This window comes from Homo sapiens, chromosome 7 (genome assembly GCF_000001405.40).
Source record: "Homo sapiens chromosome 7, GRCh38.p14 Primary Assembly".
Classification (NCBI taxonomy): domain Eukaryota; kingdom Metazoa; phylum Chordata; class Mammalia; order Primates; family Hominidae; genus Homo; species Homo sapiens.
Window position 1 is genome coordinate 17,196,171 of NC_000007.14, and position 20,876 is coordinate 17,217,046.

Here is a 20,876-nt window from a genome sequence, read left to right on the forward strand (position 1 = left end):
ATAAGGACCTTTCCCTTAAAGGGTTGTCATAAGATGAGAAAGATTGTATATAAAGCTCCCAGTGAGTGTTAGTATGTGCTAGACAAGGTTCTAAACATTTTACTTGTATTATTTACTTGTATTATCTTTATTCCTCACATCTACCTAGGAGGTAGGTTCTCAACTGCATTTTACAGGTGTAGAAATCCAGGTACAGAGAAGTTTATATTTCTTGATTCATAAGTCAGGATTGGCACCAAGATATTCTAGCTCCAGAGACCACAGAATTAACCACTGCTTTTCAGAACTGGCCTTAGTATAGAGAGGAGTTCTGAGCAAGATCTTGACTGATGGAGTTTGACCAGGTAGGGGCAGCAGGAGATGTTCCCTGCTTCAGCCAGAGGGATCTATCTATCTATCTATCTATCTATCTATCTATCTATCTATCTATCCATCCATCCATATTTTCTTTCTTTCTTTCTTTCTTTCTTTCTTTCTTTCTTTCTTTCTTTTTCTTTCTTTTTAACCTTTAAATTCAGAGGTACATGTGCAGGTTTGTTACATATGCAAACTTGTATCATGGAGGTTTGTGGTACAGATTATTTCATCACCCAGGTATTAAGCCTAGTACCCAGTAGCTAGTTTTTCTTGATCCTCTCCCTCCTCCTACCTTCCACTCTCTGAAATGCTCCAGTGTGTGTTGTTGCCCTCTATGTGTCCATGTGTTCTCATCATTTAGCTCTCACTTATACGTGAGAACATGTGGTATTTGGTTTTGTGTTCCTGTGTTAGTTTACTGAGAAAAATGGCCTCCAGCTCCATCCATGTCCCTGCAAAGGACATGATCTCGCTGAAAGCATTCCCCTTGAAAACTGGCACAAGACGAGGATGCCCTCTCTCACCTCTTCTATTCAACATAAGTTCTGGGCAGGGCAATCAGGCAAGAGAAAGAAACAAAGGGCACCAAATAGGAAGAGAGGAAGTCAAACTGTCCATGCTTGAAGATGACTTGATTCTATACCTAGAAAATCCCATAGGCTCAGCCCAAAAGCTTCTTCAGCTGATAAACAACTTCAGCAAAGTCTCAGGATATGAAATCAATGTGCAAAAATCACCAGCATTCCTATACATCAACAGCCAGTCAACCCAAGAACCAAATCAGGAACGAACTCTCATTCACAATTGTTGCAAAAAGAGGGATTTTTGTAACTGGTATCCTTCTAACACAACTTATTTTATGTTCCTGCTTAAAATCCATTAAGGGTCAAGTGCAAACTCTGCCTCTCTCTCTAACTCATACTGGGTTTTTGGTTGTTTTCTTGCTGTTTTATTTTTTGTTTCCTTAATGCATTATATTTGATTTTGCCATACTCTATTGGAGTTGCTTGAATATGTCTGTCTGTGAAAGACTAGAAGCTTGTGCAGGAATGGTCCATGTTCGTTGTCTCTCTGTTCTACTCCCAGCGGTAGGTAGTAATATTTAAAATATTAAATTAATAGTAAGGCATAGACACCAATCAATCAGAATAGACATTGAAGTAAACAGCCAGTGGGATTCTGTCACTGTATAGCCATCGAACTGGGTGCCAGACCAATAGTGGGTACTTATTATTTATGAGTGAATGAATGAATAGATTTAAGAATCATAGCACTTGACATTTTTTGACTTCTGTTTGTCTCACCCTTGGCTCCAGTTATATCCTTTTTCTTCTAAATCACATATTTAAATTATATTTTATGAATCTTTAAAAGTGAACTTAAATCCCTTCCATAAGGATGGAAATAAATAAGTACATAAAACTGTTGGTGAACACTAAATATTATTTATAATGATCATCTAAGGATTGCCAAAGTCTAAGCTGGAATGAAGACTAGGCTGTGAGTTATAATTCCTCCTTCTTCCAACTATCCAGCCTTCCACCTGTTGTAAAATTAGGTTCCTTCTGGTACCTAAAATTCTATCTAAGAGCTTTATTTCTTGGAATTAAAAGTTTTACCTTTCATAGATTAACTGCTAAATTGAAAATTATCCTAGAATGGGTAAATATTAAAGAATGTAATTACTATTAGAATCCTAGCCTTCATTAGTTTTATTGAATTTCTCTCCAACTGATACCTTGAGAATAAAAAATAAAATTAATTAAAAAGGCACACATTAAATAATGCTGCATATTCTGTATATTCATTGGAGTAAAGAGGGCGAGATTAATCTAAAGCCGTTTTCTAAATGCTAAATACAATACCTGACTACATTACAAGGAATGGGCCATGTATTTTACACATGAATTCTGATGCCCAGATATTTAGGTTTTAAAAAGCTTCCACTTGATTTAAATGCATAGCAGCTAAATTTGGGAAGCACTGGGAGTATGGGTTCCTGTGGCAAAGTTACCTCTAGATAGGGAATCCCACGGCCTTATCTGTGCATTGAGTTCCCGAGATGAGAAGGCAGACACAAGGTAAGGAAAAGTACTAAAAGGGCATGGCAGCACACAATATAGTTTCTAGCTTCAGACATAAGAAAATGATTTGTTTGAATACAACATATACTTTTGAAGGCCAGAAAGTGCCCTGGCCTCTGGAAGAAAATCTTTTCAGCATGAAGGATTGAAGCAAAAGGTATTTTTGGTCAAATACTTAGTCAACCAGAACATTTAATTAACCAAAACACTCTAATGTCACAGCATTCCAACTGAGATTTTGAAGCACAAATAAATAAGACATTGAAGCCTGAATAGTCCCTGTTCTTTATTCTCTCCCTTTCAAGGTACTATAATGACTTTTATGTTTTTAATTAGTGCCTAAGTAATACTTATTTCTACATTAAAAATTTCCCCTATACCAAGTCAGTGCTAACTCATGACAAGGCCTTAGCAAGTTATTTAGCTTTCTTGGCCTTCGTTTTATTTATCTGTTGGGGGTGGGGACGAGATGTTTTTGAAGTTCTTTTTTTGTCCTAATAGTCTAAGATTCTTTGATAAATCAGCTATAGGCACAAAGTCTAGGAAAGCTGAATTTGTGGTTATGGGCCAGTGGAAAATAATTCTCTTCAGAGTTATAGACAAACATTTGTGACCTTAAAGACACTTATACCAGGTTGGTGAATTCCATCATAACTCCCCTCCAGGACTCATAGCTAGTCGTGTCAATGTTGATTTGTAGCTATAAGGTTGGCATTTGTACAACTATTTTTCCAAACAAGTTTTCCAATTATGTAACGTATGGTTTAGTTGATATTAATCAAGGATGACTGAAGAAGCAGTTCTTCCATTTTTATAGTGCGTATGTGAGTATTTGTGGGTGTGGACAAGGAGAAGGCGTAACTTCCTGTATGAACGTACCCTTAGAATTCCAGTTTCATTCTGAATGCTTTTATGATAGGTTTTCTACCATGTAGGTGGGAAATTTTCAAAGTGTGCTCTCCTAAGATAATCAGAGTGGCCGTAGGGGAAAAAATAACCATAGAGTTTATACCTTCTGCCACATTAATTTATTTAGTCTTCTAAACTGGCAGGGAGTTCTGTCTTCTTGCTTCAAATTCCCATGTGCTCATTTAAGTATTCACCAGCCCTTTATGATGGTGTGTTAACAGATTCTAACTGTTCAACAGTCATGTAACGGTGAGTTGCTTCCTTGACATAATAGTTAATTCAGGCTTTTATCCTTTCGTCTATTTTTTAGTTTACCACTGAGAAGCATTATCCATAGTTGAACTTTCTTAAATGGACTGGTCATTTTAATAACAGAATTTTTGGGGTACATAATGGTTAATTCCCGAATATTTTATTTTGAGCCTTATCTTTGAAAGTCATTTTAAAACTAGTCTTTGTCCACTTTTCTAGGTTAGCAAGTACTATGTGGGTACTCAGCCTCTGATGCGTTAATGTTTGTTAAGAGAACGTTATTCAATCTTTCTTCAATTCCTGAGAATTTTCTGTAGGTTTAGGGTATCATTGTAAATATCGTTCCTAATTTTTCATGGCTATAGATATAAAAGGTAGAAGACATTGGAGGGAGTCTCCAATCACTGTGAAGAACTTCTTCATTTCTGATCCTTCCAATATGGAAGCAATGCTGCTTCCAACCACAGCAGGTCATTGGAGTATTCTAGAACCTGGGGGTCCTGCTTCACTACTGATGTCATCTCACCCCTAAAATCATATCATGAGGCACTTGGAACAAGATGTCTCCTAGAGTCTGTCTTCTCGGATGCTCGGCATATTGTTTTGTACTCCCTCCCCTGGGATTACCTTCTCATTGCCAACATCCCTCCCTTCCATGATGTTTTAAGCCTTTTTTGCATTGGAAATAGACCTCTATATGCCATCCACCTCTTAGAAGATTGCTCTGTCCTGCTAATTGCCTTCTCTGAAGTGTGATTCTTTCCAGAAGCAGTACATAACCATTCCCTTTTTTCCATAACCTCATTAGCATCTGATGTTCTTTTGCTTTTTAGTAATAGTCATTCTGACTGTTGTGAGATGGTATCTCACTGTGGTTTTGATTTGCATTGCTCTAATGATTAGTTATGATAAGCATTTTTTCATATATTTGTTGGCCAGGTATATGTCTTCTTTTGAAAAGTGTCTATTCATGTCCTTTGTCCATTTTTAATGGGGTTGTTTTTTGCTTGCTGATTTAAGTTCCTTGTAGATTCTGGATATTAGACCTTTGTCAGATGCACAGTTTGCAAATATTTTATCCTATTCTGTAGGTTGTCTAGTCTGTTGATAGTTTCTTTTGCTGTGCAGAAGCTCTTTAATTAGGCCCCAGTTGTCAATTTTTGTTTTTTTGTAATTGCTTTTGGGGACAGTCATTAATTATTTGCCAAGGCTGATGTCTAGAATAGTATTCCCTAGGTTTTCTTGTAAGGCTTTTATTGTGTTAGGTCTTAGAGTTAAGTCTTTAATCCATTTTTAGTTAATTTTTATATATCGTAAGAGGAAGGTGTCCAATTTTAATCTTCTACATATGGCTAGCCAGTTATCCCAGCACCATTTATTAAACAGGGAGTCCTTTCCTCATTGTTTGCTATTGTCGACTTTCGTGAACATCAGGTGGTTTAGATGTGTGTCTTTATTTCTGGGCTCTCTATCCTGTTCCATTGGTTGATGTGCCTTTGTACCAATATCATGCTATTTTGGTTACTGTGGCCTTTTAGTATAGATTGAAGTCAGGTAATGTAATGTCTCGAGCTCTGTTCTTTTTCCTTAGGATTGCTTTGGCAATTTCGGATCTTATTTGGTTCCATATACATTTTGGAATTTTTTTTCTAATTCTGTGATAAATGACATTGGTAGTTTGATAGGAATAGTAATTGCTTTGGGCAGTATAGTCATTTTAACAATATTGATTCTTCCTATCCATGAGCTTGGAATGTTTTTCTATTTGTTTGTGTTGTCTCTGATTTCTTTCAGCAGTGTTTCGTAATTCTCCTTGTAGAGATCTTCCTTGGTAAGCTACATTCCTAGATATCATTCTTTTTTTTGGCTATTGTAAATGGGATTGTGTTCTTAATTTGGCTTTAGTTTGGACATTATTGGTGGATACAAGTGCTACTGATGTTTATACATTGATTTGCATCCTGAAACTTTATTGAAGTTATTTATTGATTCTATCATCTGTTAAGAGACATTAGGTTGCTTCTGTATCTTAACTATTGTGAATTGTGCTACAGGGAACATGGGAGTGCAGATATCTATTAGACATACTGATTTCAATTCCTTTGGCTTTCAATTCCTTTAGATCCAGAAGTGTGATTGCAAGATCATATGGTAATGTTTAAGGAACCTACATAGTGGTTCCATAATGGGAGTGCTAATTTACATTCCTATCAACAGCGTACCTGTATCAAGGTTCCCCTTTCTTCATACCCTTGCTGTCACTTATCTTTCATCTTTTTGATAACAGCCATTCTAACAGCTATGAAGTAATATCACATTATTGTTTAAATTTGTGATTAGTTGTCCTTGATGATTAGAGATGTTGAGCTTTTTTTTTTCATATATCTGTTGGCCGTTTGTATGTTTTCCTTTGAGAAGTGTCTGTTCAGGTCCTTTGCCTGTTTTTTAATCAAGTTTTTTGTTTTCTTGCTATTGAGTTGAATTCCTTATATATTTCGGATAATTAGTCCCTTATTAGATGTGTGTTCTGCAAATATTTTCTTCCGTTCTGTGGATTATCTGTTTACTCTGTTAATTGTTTCCTTTGCTGTGCAGAAGCTTTTTTGTTTGATGCAATCCCATTTTTCTATTTTTGTTTTGTTGCCTATGCTTTGGGGATCATATCGAACAAATAATTGCCCAGACCAATGTCATGGAGAGTTTCCCCTATGTTTTCTTCTGATAGTTTTACAGGGTCTTATGTTTAAGTCTTTTATACATTTTGAGTTAATTTTGTTGATGGTGTGAGATAAGAGTCCAATTTTATTCTTCTGCCTGGGGGGATGAACAACTGGAGTCATAAATTCATGGTTTTATTCAGCAAATATGTGTTTGCTTGTTGGGCTTGTTGGATGTTCCAGGTATTGTGCTACGTGCTAGGGTAGCATAGTTAAGCTAATAATGAGCAAGACATAGTTAAGAAACGTTCCGTTTCTTCACTCTAGAAATCTACACAGATAAGAAAATGAACAATTATAGAGAAAGCAATAAGCAAAGGTAATAAGGGAGCAGAGATAAGGGATCACTTAACTCAGAGACACACATCAGAGGAGGTAATGTCTGACCCAAGCCTTGAGTGTTCTGACGCATGAAGGGAAGACAAAGGGTGATAAGATGATAGTAGGAGATGAGGACATTCCAGTTCTCAGCATGACATTGGGAGGGCCTTTGGTGTGCTGAGAAAACTAAACATTACGTTGAGAGCAACGACTTCTTCTGGCTATTTGAGGTGATATAAGTGTATAAGGGTTACTAGATTCCTTACCAAGAAATTCAAAAGCAAAGGGGAGTTATGAAAGAGACATGTTGGCCGGGCACAGTAGGTCACACCTGTAATCCCAGCACTTTGGGAGGCAGAGGTGGGTGGATCATGAGGTCAGGAGTTTGAGACCAGCCTGACCAACATGGTGAAACTCCATCTCTACTAAAAATATAAAAATTAGCCAGGCGTGGTGGTGTGCACCTGTAATCCCAGCTACTCGGGAGGTTGAGGCAGGAGAATCGCTTGAACCCAGGAGGCGGAGGTTGCAGTAAGCTGAGATTGCACCACTGCACTCCAGCCTAGGTGACAGAGTAAGACTCCATCTCAAAAAAAAAAAAAAAAAAAAAGAAAGAAACATGTTAAGACTTATACTTCCAAGTTCACCGAGGTATACCATGTTCATGCTGGTAAAGATGTGGAGAATGTACTAGAGAGTGAAGACTGGAGGCTGGGAAAGAGTTAGGAAGATGCCTTGAATAGTTCAGGGAAGAAATTTTAAGGCTTAGAAACAGGGAATTTTTGTCCCGGGATGAAGTTGAACAGGCGGATAGAGAACCCAGTGATTGATACATAGCAGGTAAGGTGAAGGGGAGGTTTCTAGCTTGGATGAATAGGCAAAGAGTGTGCTCCTAAACTGACCAGGTTAATTGGGATTAAAAGGAAATATATCACCCTGAAACCAAGGATGGCAGACAAGGAGGAGCCATGGATAAAACTTTACAGAATTAAGTTTCAGAAAAGATGATCGGGTTGGTCTGGCCAAGCTGCGTTGCCACCACGTCAGAGGGTGCAGCTGCCTATGGGGACTCCCATCTGGCAACCTTGACTTATACCCATTCTTCTTTTAAACTTCCCTGGCTCTTGGGAAATCAGTATGCATCACAGTTCCTGACAAATTAAGAGTCCAGAGAATACAGCAATTATATGATCTAATCATACTAATGTTTCAAGTTGTCATAAAGTTACTAAATTTGTATCTAATATCATTTAAGTAGTAACTAATATAAAAGTATTTCAGCATCAGAATTTAAAATGTGAATCTGTCATTATGCATAGAGTTTTCTATTCACAGCAGTTCTACTTATATCCATATACACGATGGGCTTTGCCACTTACACATATTGAAGCTAGGATGTCAATTGGATAGGGCTCACAATCTCAAACTCATGGAAAATTTGGTAAATTTATCTCTAATGCCTATTCTTGTAAATGACAGATTTTTCACTGAAAACAGGGAATCGAGACAAACATCCTATGTAGACTTCTTAAAGATCATGAAATGATTCTAAGTTGGTGCAAAAAAAAGTCTCAAGATGCCTGTCATGAATCTCTGCAGAACTCTGTCTGAATTCCATGTTACAAATGCTTCCCAATTATGGTAGTAAGATATGGAAGAAAATATGAAGAAGTAACAACTTTTTATAGCACACTAGTATATCATAAACACATATAGTATTCATTTTATTACTATATTATTCTTCCTTTAATACACATAATACTTAAAAAAATTTTTTAGCTTAGAAAGATTATAATTTTTTAAAAACTCAGTCAGTTCCATAAGCCTTTATTAATATTTTCTATGGAGATATGAGATTCAACTGATGTCATTTTTTCTTTTTCTTACTGCAGAGTGCCTTTTCAGGAATTAATTCTGCTGTTAGAGAAGTACCTATGTCTTCAGAGAATGTAAAGGTATGGAATATGTTCACTCTGCTTAAATCTTCCTTGGGAACTCATATTCTTTTTCTCTAGCAATGGTTGGAGCATGTGTTTTGGAGCACCCCTGGGAATAAAAAGAAACAAAACCTATTCTGCCATTGGCATTTGGCTTCCCCAATGTTTTCACTTGGTAGGTAGCTAGTAGAATGAGAAGCTGGGAAATTATAGCTACAGTCAGTCATTCCTTGGTATATGTGGGGGATTGGTTCTAGGGCACCTGGAGTATACCCAAATCTGTGTACACTCAAGCCCTGCAGCTGGCCCTTTGGAACCCACATATAAGAAAAGGCAGCCCTTGATATATGCAAGTTTTGCATCCCAAGAATACCAAATTTTTGATCCCCATTTAGTTGAAAATATGTGCGTATAAGTAGACCCTCGCAGTTCAAACCCATATTTTTCAAGGGTCAACTGTACTTTAATCTCCATGTTCATCAGCCAAATATACCATGCAATTGCAAAATTCCAAAATCAGTATTTCCTCCTGGGGAATTTCCTTAACATTTACTCTCATTCTTGTTGCCTAGATAAAACAAAACTATGAAGAATCTTAGAGAATCCTGTCTGGATAAAACACAATTAGATAATTTCAGATTGCATTTGAGTAATGATTAGACATTCTTTTCATTGCATAGTATTTTAATGTCTTTTATTGCTTCCATGGAAAATGTTATTTATATATGATTTTCCATATAGGCATATTCAGTGCTTTCTTAAATCAGCCATAAAAGTGAAACAGCCAGATAATTAAACACAAAGAACGATAGATGTTTGGATGGTTCTTAAATATCATATTTTAAATTTCATACATTTGTGATCAGTGTGATGATACTTTAAGGTCAATAAGAAACCATTTTCTGCTGGGTTTGGTGGTGCGTGCCTATAGTCTCAACCACTCAGTAGGCTGAAGTGGGAGGATTGCTCGAGACTATTTCTGGGCTGCAGTGATCTATGCCAATTGGGTGTCTGCATTAAGTTTTGCCTCTATATGATGACCTTCTGAGAGCTGGGTACTGGCCCAGTTTGGAGACGGAACTGGTCTAAACTCCTGTGCTGATTCATTGGTGCCATAGTGGCTGTGAATACTGAATTGCCACTGCCCCCCAGCCTGGGTAACATAGCAAGATGCCATCTCTGAAAATTATTTTTTTCTCAGAAAGAGAATACATTTCCCAGCCTTATCTGCTGCCTACCTCGTGCTGATCAGTAGTGCCATGGTCGCTGTGAAGAGTGAATTGCCACTGATCCGCAGACTGGGTAACATAGAAAGATGCCATCTCTGAAAATTATTTTTTTCTCAGAAAGAGAATATATTTCCCAGCCTTATCTGCTGTCTACTTCCTCAATTCTTCCCCCTCTCATGACAGCTGACAGCAAAGGCCCATGATTTAGGATCCTCTAAAATCCCACCTGGGAAATGACTTCTTGCTGACAGGAAATTTTCAGAGCTAAAATCATGTACAAAAAGCAATGGTTACTTTTTAGAATAATAGCTAAAATATAAAATACAGTAGAATCACTTTCATTGATTAATTTTTTGTTTGTTAGTTATTCACTCAACCTACAGCAATGACATAGCCAGAAACTCCCTGTTCTTAATGACGTAGTGGGTTCTCTGCCTGACAAAGGGCACCACTGTGCTTCAGGGCGCGGCTGCTGAATTCCTCTGGCTTTGGGTTCAAATTTCTGCTCTATTGTTTACTAGGTACATAACCTTGGGCAATTCACTTCACTTTTCTGTCTCCATTTTCTCTTTTGTAAACAGTGAATAATTCAGTAACTACTCAGGTTGCTGAAGCATTGAATGATATAGGCACATCAAGTGTTAGCATGGTGCCTCATATATGGTGGTTAATTATTACAAGTAAGATAATAACACTTGGTTACTGTACTTACTAGTGCTACTCTTTGACCACCTTGGGGGGAAAGAAAACCACTAAGATAATCCCCCTTATCATGAGCACTTCCTCTGTTGAAAAACTCAGTAGAATTCATCACAAAGAGGCCAGGATCAGATAAGAGGCCAGTCATAGTCTAGTCTTTGGCCACCTCTGAACTCCTCTGAACTCCCTTGAGCATGATATTTGCTGTACAGCCCTACACAGCAACCCTGGTAAACTGCGAATTTGTGGCAAAAAAAAAACCCAAAAAACAAAAAACATAGCATAACATTGTTGGCACAAATGTTTACATGTTGCCTTATCAAAATGTTGCCACCTGTAGGTCTTTAACGTTATTTTGAAAAATAACACTTTTAAATTTTTAGAGAAAATATCTGAAATGGCAGATTCAGCGTCATTCATGATCAATTTTAGTATTAGTGCATAGGGGAGCCCTGAGACTATTTTCCTCAATAGTTGAGTTTCCTCCATCATAGGTATGACTAAGGGAATAGAAAGATGAGAATTACTAGAAATTTAAAGGAGCGTTGTCAGTGAAAGTTATATAAATTGAATAAAAAATAGAGTGATATTAGTGATTCACCATTTAGATGGACTTTTTCTGCCAATTTAGGTCTTCCTTGCTATCCTGCCTCCACATTCCCTAATCCTAATACATGTTTGCTCATGCCTTTTGTGCTGTTGCCATAATAAGCAGCCCAACCCCAGCCCTTATCTGCAGGAAGGAAACTGGGGGTAGCAATAGCTGAACAAGAACCAAGTTGAACACAGCTATGAGCAACACAGATAAGCACAGGGACATGTCCCATATGCAGGATGGACTACATAATATGTGGGGCCCAGTGTAACATAAAAATGTGAGGCCCCTTATTAAAAAATGTTTTAGAACTTCGAGATGGTGACAGCCAATCATTAAATGAAGGATCAGGCTCTTTTAAGTATGGAACCCTGTGAAGATGCACAGGTTGGATGCCCATGCAGCTGGTCCTAGACATTTTTCCTTCCCTGTTACTGCTAGTCTTATCTGTACAGGAATGGCCTCTGGTGGTCCAGCCTTTTACCATGTCCATGGAAGTTTACCTTATTGTAAAACCAAGTAAGTATTCAGGTTTTAATGCCAGATACATGATCTAGCTAATGGTTTAGGATTAAATGATTCTTCTTTTCTAAAGCCTCAGAGACACACCTTTTAATCAACTGTCACCCCCGCATTGTCTGAAAACTAGACGTAGTGTATAACATATGAATGTATACAAAAGAAGAACCCTCAGGAGTTAATTCTCAGCATGCAATGGAAAATATAAATGGAAATACCATTGTAAGGCAAAAAAATTCAACAAGGGAACCATGAACTTCAGGTATATTATTTTAATTTGAATCAGTTATCTTAAAGACCCTATGAATATTTAAGCATTGTTTTTTTAAAGGCTACCGTACAGTGAGTTATACAAGTAAAACTGGAAAACTCTTGACATTCTTAATATTTGTGAGTTGCATGCCCCTCTGACAACCTGATGAAAGTCATAAAACTCATCCAGGTAAATATATGTTCCCATAAACACACACACACACACACACACACACACACACACGTGCTTCCCAAGCACCTTGAGATCTGTTCAGGAACTTGAGGCTAAACAAATCCTTGCTCTGAAACAAAGCTTCTGTTGCTGATCCTGAAGGACTCAAAGGGAGCTATTTTAAAACAGAAATAAAGATATAGATTTTATCTTATGGCTAAATGAAGTTAAATAAACAAGTTGGGGTCAGGTCATAAAGGATCATGCTAATGCTTTCTTTTCTTTTTTAGACGGAGTCTCACTCTGTCGCCCAGGCTGGAGTGCAGTGGCGCGATCTCGGCTCACTGCAAGCTCCGCCTCCTGGGTTCACGCCATTCTCCTGACTCAGCCTCCCGAGTAGCTGGGACTACAGGCGCCCGCCACCACGCCCGGCTAATTTTTTGTATTTTTAGTAGAGACGGGGTTTCACCGTGTTAGCCAGGATGGTCTCGATCTCCTGACCTCGTGATCTGCCCGTCTCGGCCTCCCAAATGCTGGGATTACAGGCGTGAGCCACCGCGACTGGCCAATGCTTTCTTAAAACATGTTTTGTGCAGAAGAATTTTAAATACAGACATCTCATTACACACCTAACTACGTCAGTATTCAGCTCTTAAAAATAAATGTATTTTCCTGCATAGCCAAAAGAATGATTTTTAATATCTAGCAAAATAAATAATTTCTTAATTTCATTTTAGACCCAGCCAAAATAAAATTTCTCCATTTTTTTCCTGTTTTGTCCAAAATCAAGATGCAATCTAGGATCATGCATTGCATCTAGCTATTATACCCCTTAAGCTGCATTTAGTCTAGAACAATCAAGATTGGTTTCACATAATTTATTGGAGAGAGCAGATCTCTGAATTTATCTGATGGCTTCTAAGTGTGTTTTAAATCTAACTCTCTCTTTTTTTTAATTAATTGGAAGTTCAATCTAACAGCTTGAACAAATTAGCTATTTGTCTAAGTATACTCATAGCTATTTGGGGCTAGAATGCATCGCACCTGATGCTGTGGTTAACTGCACTACAATAAGGACAGAGTCTGTCCCCTGTCCCACCACTACAACTGCTGACACTGGACACCGAAACTACAGAGCCACAGTCTGAGCCCTCCACTATGCTGTTCTATTTTTCCCTTATGATCAAAAAGTAAACTGTGTAGTACAACTATAGCATTGTATAGAGCTTCAATTCTCCTTCAACCATTTACCATGTCGTTTTAATTCTAAATGAGAATCTATGAATGAATCAATTACTGCAAAAGTGTGATTTTTTTCTAATTCTACATTCCTTCTATGTTAACTAGATGTTCTCTCATTACTTGGGGATACTGGGATAATCAATTTCCTACTGAAAAAAACAGGATAGTTTTTAAATCATTGATTTTATAAGAAAAGATTTGGTTTAATACCTAACCCAAATGATAATATATACACTTTTGGCCTTATAAAAAGAGTTTAATTGTGCATTGAGGGATTTTTATAAAATCACTTTTAAGCCAACTACAAAAAATTATTCTTTTTGATGTTCAATATATCAAAACACTGGCTTGTGGGAGCCCTTTCAAGCTGTGTCTACTTTTAAGATAACAGCATTCAATTTTGAAAATTATCTTGAGCTCAAATTATACAAGGATTGGTCTGTATCTTTTGTGTCTCCAGTCAATAATCAACCATTTCTTCAAGAAACTGATGCCTTTACTGGGGAATGATATCAGAGACCAAAATGTCTCTAAGTATACTCATTGATATTGGGGGTAAAATTACATCTAAGCCATATCAATGGACGTAGCAAGAAAATATATTTTTAAATCATAAATTCATTTGTAGATTTTGAATTCAATACTAACAATAAAATACTTTTATATAACTTCTTTGGTTTTGTAATTGTACCTCTTTTCTCTTGAATATTGAAAATCTTGTTATCTAATAGTTAATAACATTTGTTGGCGTCTGTACTTGTCCTGAGCCTGTTTTCCCTCACATCAAATAGGGGAAGATACCCTTCCTTTAGTGTATCACCTTTGCAGGCTCCCATGTCAGCCAATAGCAGTCACTGGTGGGATTGGGAAGTAGGACAAAGGAAGAAGCCAGAGTATTTCTACCTTTTCTGTCTGTCATGGAAGATGCTTCTGGATATGACTGCTTCTCATCTGGGGTTTCAGTGCTCCAGGATAGGCTGACCTGAGCTCCAGCTGCAAACAGGTGATCTGGTCCTCTGGGCTCTGAAACCCATCTTTACGTTTCTTGCTCCTCTAACCTAAGATTGGAGAGGCTTCCTGTGTCTCTAAGATCTGGGTGGCCTCGTTATCTCCTCCTGGCTTCTTAGTTATTCCATTACCTATGTAGCTTATTCTCTAAATTACATACCCTTTTGAAAAAGAGAGTTTTATTGTCCTGGTTGGACCTTGATGACAGAGCTTTATAATATTCTTCAAATAAAATAGTTATTAAATAAATACTCCTAACAGTAAAACTACTAAAGAAAGTTTAAAATGCCTTTGTCATTTTTTTCCCTATAGAATGCATCCCTAAAGATGTAGTCAAAGATCTATGCTCCAAAGTCACTTTAAATATTCTTTCTCTTTGTGATTACATTAACAATTTATATACAGTAATGTACATTTGCTTTAGTGTGTTTCTAATTTGTAGGGATTCCTTTTTCTTTTTTATCTTTTTTAAAAAAATTAGAGCCATGCATTTACATGGTATGAAAGTCAAAACTAAAATGTATACATTGGTGCCTCTCCTGATTTTTAAATGTATACATAGATGCCTCTCCTGATCTTTCTCACTTAATTTCCCCTCCCTGCTCTTCATAATTAACCATTTTTTTAGCTTTTTGTTCATCCTTCTAATACTGTTCTTTTTGCAATATATACATTTCCTTTATTTCTTGTATAAAAGATAGTATGACAAATACACTATTTTGTAAATACTATTTCATTAAATAATATTATCCCAAAAAATCTCCCCAGAGCAGTACATAGAGATGGTCCTCATTCTTTTATGCTGCTGCATATTACTCTGTCATATGAATGTGGCACAATTAATTCAGGCTATTCTATATTGTTAAATTCTTGTGTTGTTTCCCATTTTTGCTACAAAATAATAGCAAAATGAACAGCTTTGTTCATATGCCATTTTAGATTTCTATGGGTGTATTTATAAGATAGATTCCTAGAAACAGGATTGCTGGTTCAAAGTGTAAATGCATGTGGACTCTGGTTAGATTTGGCAAATTCTCCTCCACAGGGCTTGTACCTTACTGGAATCCTACCAACAATGCATGCAAGTGGCTATTTTTCTAGTCTCACCAACAAGGCCTACTGCTGTTTTTTGTTTGTTTGTTTGTTTGTTTGTTTGCCAGTCTGCTGGGTGATAAATGATACCTCAGCGTATTTCTTTTGTTATGTTTGAAGTTGAACATATTATCACATGTATAAAGGCCATCTGTTATTTTTCTATAACTTATCTGTTCATATGCTTTAACATTCTTGAAAAAAAAATAATGGGAAAAAACATTGGCCTAGAAGTTAGAAGATCAGGCTCTATCATAATTTTTCAATTCACTAGTCATGGTTTTCAAGCAGATCAGAAACTTTCTCTGAGCCTTAGTTTCTATCAGTCAAGTGGTTCTGACAATAAAATAAATACAGTATATTAATATTATTTTGGAATTTGCAATATATATTCACTTCTTCTTTATCACTCAAAAATTTATATTTCACATTTGATTCAATATTTTTTTCCTCTCCTCTCTCTTAACCTTTGGAGTCTATGTCCTGTAGCTTATAATCATCATAAAATTTGGAGAGAAAGCTTTCATGATTTTCAGATGTCCCACTTCTACTGATGATAGTGAGGTAGAAAGGGTGTCTCCTACATAAAAATTCAACAACCAGAAATTCATTTTAATTTCTACTATTATGCTTTTTTATTTATTTGGAATAAAACAGAGAGATTTCACAGACTGGAACATATTTACTATGCTAAAACCTGAAGACTGGTGCAAAAATGCCAGAGGAAGATGATAAATAAGAGTCCTAATCTTGATTAGACAACTACCAGAAGCACTAAACTGCCTCTTCCTGAAGTTTCCATGGGTCTGGGCAGTGGCTAGAGTGCTTTGCCATTGCTGGATGTGTCCTCAGTCAGAGTCCAAAGTTCCTTTTGATTGTTGTTTCAGGAATCTTCCTTAAAAAATGAGAATTATAAGGGAAATGGTAAAAATTCACTCCTCTTAGAATATTAGCTTTTTTGACACTGTTAATTGGCAAAATTTGTTGAAGGAGAAATGACAGCTGTTTAAATAACTAGACTGCATTCATTTTAATTATTGCTTTTGGCAGGGTTCAAAGAGTTTAATCTTTCCTAAATCCCTCGGTAATGTCTGCTCTCTAAAAGGTTCAGTTACCCTGGACAAGATCTTCATCAGCTACTTGCTATGCACTGGCAATGTTACTTGATATAGATAAGCTAGTTGAAAGGGTAATTACTAGACAAAGAAATGTAAGATATATGCTAATCTAAGTTCTCAAACAGCTTCTTAACAAATATTTAGATCATTTACCTTATTTATATTTATATTTGCTGATACACATCAAATATCTCATCATAATTTCCTCATTTGCCCTCTGTAGATCTAGATTCTCTTAAAGCAAAATGTAACAAACAAAAGTAAACTGACTAAATAAGTAGACCGATATCTTTCAGTCTGAATCTATAAATATGTAGTATTGTCCTGTACTAATGTGTTTTTAAGTTTTTTAACCTATAGAATTTTGCAGAACTGTACTTTTGTATACTTTCAACTTAAAAATACTACATAAAAGGAAAGCCAAAGTTTTAAATTTGACAATCATTTGGTAAAAATAACCAGAGAAGCCTTAATTTCTCAAACTTCCATCCAAATTATTTTCATAACAATTGTGTTAAATGCTTATGTGATGTTTTGATTTCTTTGCTCAGGAACATCTCCACTTAAATTCAATGTTCTGAAAGACATATATGATGTTTCTTATAAGATTAATAAGATGAAGGAAAAGGACAGGAAAAACTCAAGAGTCAATTATGTAATTTGCATTTTTAGAGACTTGATTGCAAACCTTAACTAAAAAAACAAGTCTTAGATTAGATTAACTGAATATTCATTTAATGGCAGAAAACCAGAACTTTTTTAAAAAAAGGTTTCATGTTTGCAGGTCAGGCGGAAGCCTGTGTTTTTATTTTTATACTCAAATTCTCTGACTTTGTCAACATGAATATAATATCTAAAAGAGAGATGTGCCCTTATGATGAGTCAAGAGGCACAATAGTTTACAGTTAGTTCCTTTTTATTTGGACTAATGGCTATAGGTGGTTTATTTGGCTAAACATGATACTGAATCATTGGTAAAAACATTCCATTAGGTATATAATTAGTGGGCACATGAGAGAGTAGCATAGGAAATATATAATTAACTGTATACATTATACTAAAATAAGAATGTGTATAAAAGAAGTTGACTCCATATCTTGAAAGAATTTTAGAGATTAAAGGAACTCCCACAACAGCAAATGTTACTAACATAGTAGTATATTTGAATATTGTGATTTAGAAATGACTTTGTTTACCTATTTTTTTTAAGATGGAGTATCATTCTGTCACCCAGGCTGGACTATAGTGGTGTGATCATAGCTCACTGCAGCCTTGAATTCCAGGGCTCAAGCCATCCTCCTGCCTCAGCCTTCCAAGTGGCTAGGACTACAGGCACCTGCCACCGTGCCCAGCTAATGTTTTGTTTGTTTGTTTTTAGAGATGGGGTCTTGTTTCATTGCCCAGTCTGGTCTTGAACTCCTGGACTCAAGCAATGCTCCTGCCTCTGCTGATATTACAGACATTAGTAACTGTGCCCTGCCAGAAATGACTTTTAATAGAGTGATAATTTGAATTATTTTTCAAATATTCATTATTTCAGCATTTTCCAAACTATTAGCTGTGATACATGGATGCATGATGAAATTTACAATCTTTATCTTTATTAAAACTCCTGGATTTTTCCATTAGCCCTTTGGTACTTTCAATTCTACTGCTCAACCAAACAATTGATCAAGTATTTACTAGTACCTACTATAAATAGACTCAGTACTTTGCCACATGCTAAGGATGGTACATACATATGTATAACACATAGTTGCCAAATTTAAGGAATTTACAAGTGTTTAAGAAACAAAGAAAATAAATTGATATGAAAAATTAGAGATCAAAACAAGGTAGGCACCATGAATTCTAAGATGTTTCAAAGGAGAAAACAGTTTGCCTTACATTTGCCTACAGTTTGCAAAATCATCTAGCAACACAGTACACTGTTGAGTTTCAGTTGTTTACCCTCATGATCCCATGGCTGACTGGGAGCTGTGGGCCACTACGGCTTCCCAGCACCTTGAGAGAGTATCGTACTGCATGTGGCTAGCCTTGGAAGAGATCAAAATTCAAAGTACAGTTTCTACTTAATGCATATCACTTTTGCACCATTGCATAGTCAAAAAATCTTAAGTTGAGACATCATAAGTTGGGGACCATCTGTTATCTACATACAAAAGAGTGAAGTTGAATTTCTACCTGATACCAAATATGCAAATCAACTCAAAATGGAGCAAATACCTAGATGTAAAAGCTAAAACTACGAAACACTTAAAAGAAAATAAACGGGTAAATCTTTGTAACCTGGGATTAGGCGATGGTTACTGTGATATAATACCAAAAGCATGAGAAACAAAAAATAGATAGACTGGAATTCATCAAAGGTAAAAACTTCTGTTTCAAAGGACACTGTCAAGAACGTGAAGGACAACCCACAGAAGTGGAGAAAATTTTTGCAAATTATATTTTATAAGAGATTTGTCTCCAGAATATATCAAGAACACTTCCTATTCAATAATTTAATAAAAAGACGAGCCAACTTTAAAAAATACACAAAGCGGGGGTGGAGCCAAGATGGCCGAATAGGAACAGCTCCAGTCTACAGCTCCCAGCGTGAGTGATGCAGAAGACAGGTGATTTCTCCATTTCCAACTGAGGTACTGGTTCATCTCACTGGGGAGTGTTGGAAAGTGGGTGCAGGACAGTGGGTGCAGCGCACCGAGCGTGAGCCGAAGCAGGGCAAGGCATCGCCTCACCTGGGAAGTGCAAGGGGTCAGGGAATTCCCTTTCCTAGTCAAAGAAAGGGGTGACAGATGGCACCTGGAAAATCGGTTCACACCCACCCTAATACTGTGCTTTTCCAACAGTCTTAGCAAACGGCACACCAGGAGATTATATCCTGTGCCTGGCTCGGAGGGTACTACCCCCACGGACCCTCACTTATTGCTAGCACAGCAGTCTGAGATCAAACTGCAAGGTGGCAGTGAGGCTGGGGGAGGGGCGCCCGCCATTGCCGAGGCTTGAGTAGGTAAACAAAGTGGCTAGGAAGCTCGAACTGGGTGGAACCTACCACAGCTCAAGGAGGCCTGCCTGCCTCTGTAGACTCCACCTCTGGGGGCAGGGCATAGACAAACAAAAGGCAGCAGAAACCTCTGCAGACTTAAATGTGCCTGCCTGACAGCTTTGAAGAGAGTAGTGGTTCTTCCAGCACACAGCTTGAGATCTGAGAACAGACAGACCGCCTCAAGTGGGTCCCTGACCCCCGAGTAGCCTAACTGGGAGGCACCCCCAAGTAGGGGCCAGACTGACACCTCACACGGCCGGGTACTCCTCTGAGACAAAACTTCCAGAGGAACGATCAGGCAGCAACATTTGCTGTTCACCAATATCCGCTGTTCTCAGCCTCCGTTGCTGATACCCAGGCAAACAGGGTCTGGAGTGGACCTCTGGCAAACTCCAACAGACCTGCAGCTGAGGGTCCTGACTGTTAGAAGGAAAACTAACAAACAGAAAGGACATCCACATCTGTACGTCACCATCATCAAAGACCAAAGGTAGATAAAACCACAAAGATGGGGAAAAAACAGAGCAGAAAAAATGAAAATTCTAAAAATCAGAGCACCTCTCCTCCTCCAAAGGAACGCAGCTCCTCACCAGCAACAGAATAAAGCTGGATGGAGAATGACTTTGACAAGTTGAGAGAAGAAGGCTTCAGAGGATCAAACTCCTCCGAGCTAAAGGAGGAAGTTCGAACCCATCGCAAAGAAGTTAAAAACCTTGAAAAAAAATTAGACGAATGGCTAACTAGAATAACCAATGCAGAGATGTCCTTAAAGGACCTGATGGAGCTGAAAACCACCGCATGAGAACTATGTGACAAATGCACAGGCCTCAGTAGCCGATTCGATCAACTGGAAGAAAGGGTATCAGTGATGGAAGATCAAATGAATGAAATGAAGCAAGAAGAGAAGTTGAGAGAGAAAAGAATACAAAGAAATGAACAAAGCCTCCAAGAACTATGGGACTATGTGAAAAGACCAAATCTACGTCTGATTGGTGTACCTGAAAGTGACAGCGAGAATGGAACCAAGTTGGAAAACACTCTGTAGGATATTATCCAGGAGAACTTCCCCGATCTAGCAAGGCAGGCCAACATTCAGATTCAGGAAACACAGAGAACGCCACAAAGATACTCCTCAAGAAGAGCAACTCCAAGACACATAATTGTCAGATTCACCAAAGTTGAAATGAAGGAAAAAATGTTAAGGGCAGCCAGAGAGAAAGGTCAGGTTACCCACAAAGGGAAGCCCATCAGACTAACAGCTGATCTCTTGGCAGAAACTCTACAAGCCAGAAGAGAGTGGGGGCCAATATTCAACATTCTTAAA

At 37.4% G+C, this 20,876-nt stretch overlaps 2 long non-coding RNA genes across 3 annotated transcripts in view; one reads left to right on the top strand and one right to left on the bottom strand.

Moving 5' to 3' along the window:
• The window catches only part of LOC107986772 (uncharacterized), a 129,008-nt gene that overhangs the window by 96,367 nt on the left and 11,765 nt on the right, over nt 1-20,876 (top strand). The window contains exon 2 of the long non-coding RNA XR_001745107.2: nt 8,533-8,595. This is a non-coding gene — a long non-coding RNA (uncharacterized LOC107986772). The remainder of the gene's footprint in view (nt 1-8,532; nt 8,596-20,876) is intronic.
• LOC101927609 (uncharacterized) overlaps nt 1-20,876 on the bottom strand; it is a 164,409-nt gene that overhangs the window by 61,259 nt on the left and 82,274 nt on the right. The window contains exon 7 of one of the 2 annotated variants that reach the window (XR_007060235.1): nt 15,996-16,280. The exons of the other annotated variant lie outside the window; for it this stretch is intronic. This is a non-coding gene — a long non-coding RNA (uncharacterized LOC101927609). Of the gene's footprint in view, nt 1-15,995; nt 16,281-20,876 lie in introns of those variants that run through there. 2 annotated transcript variants of the gene reach the window in all.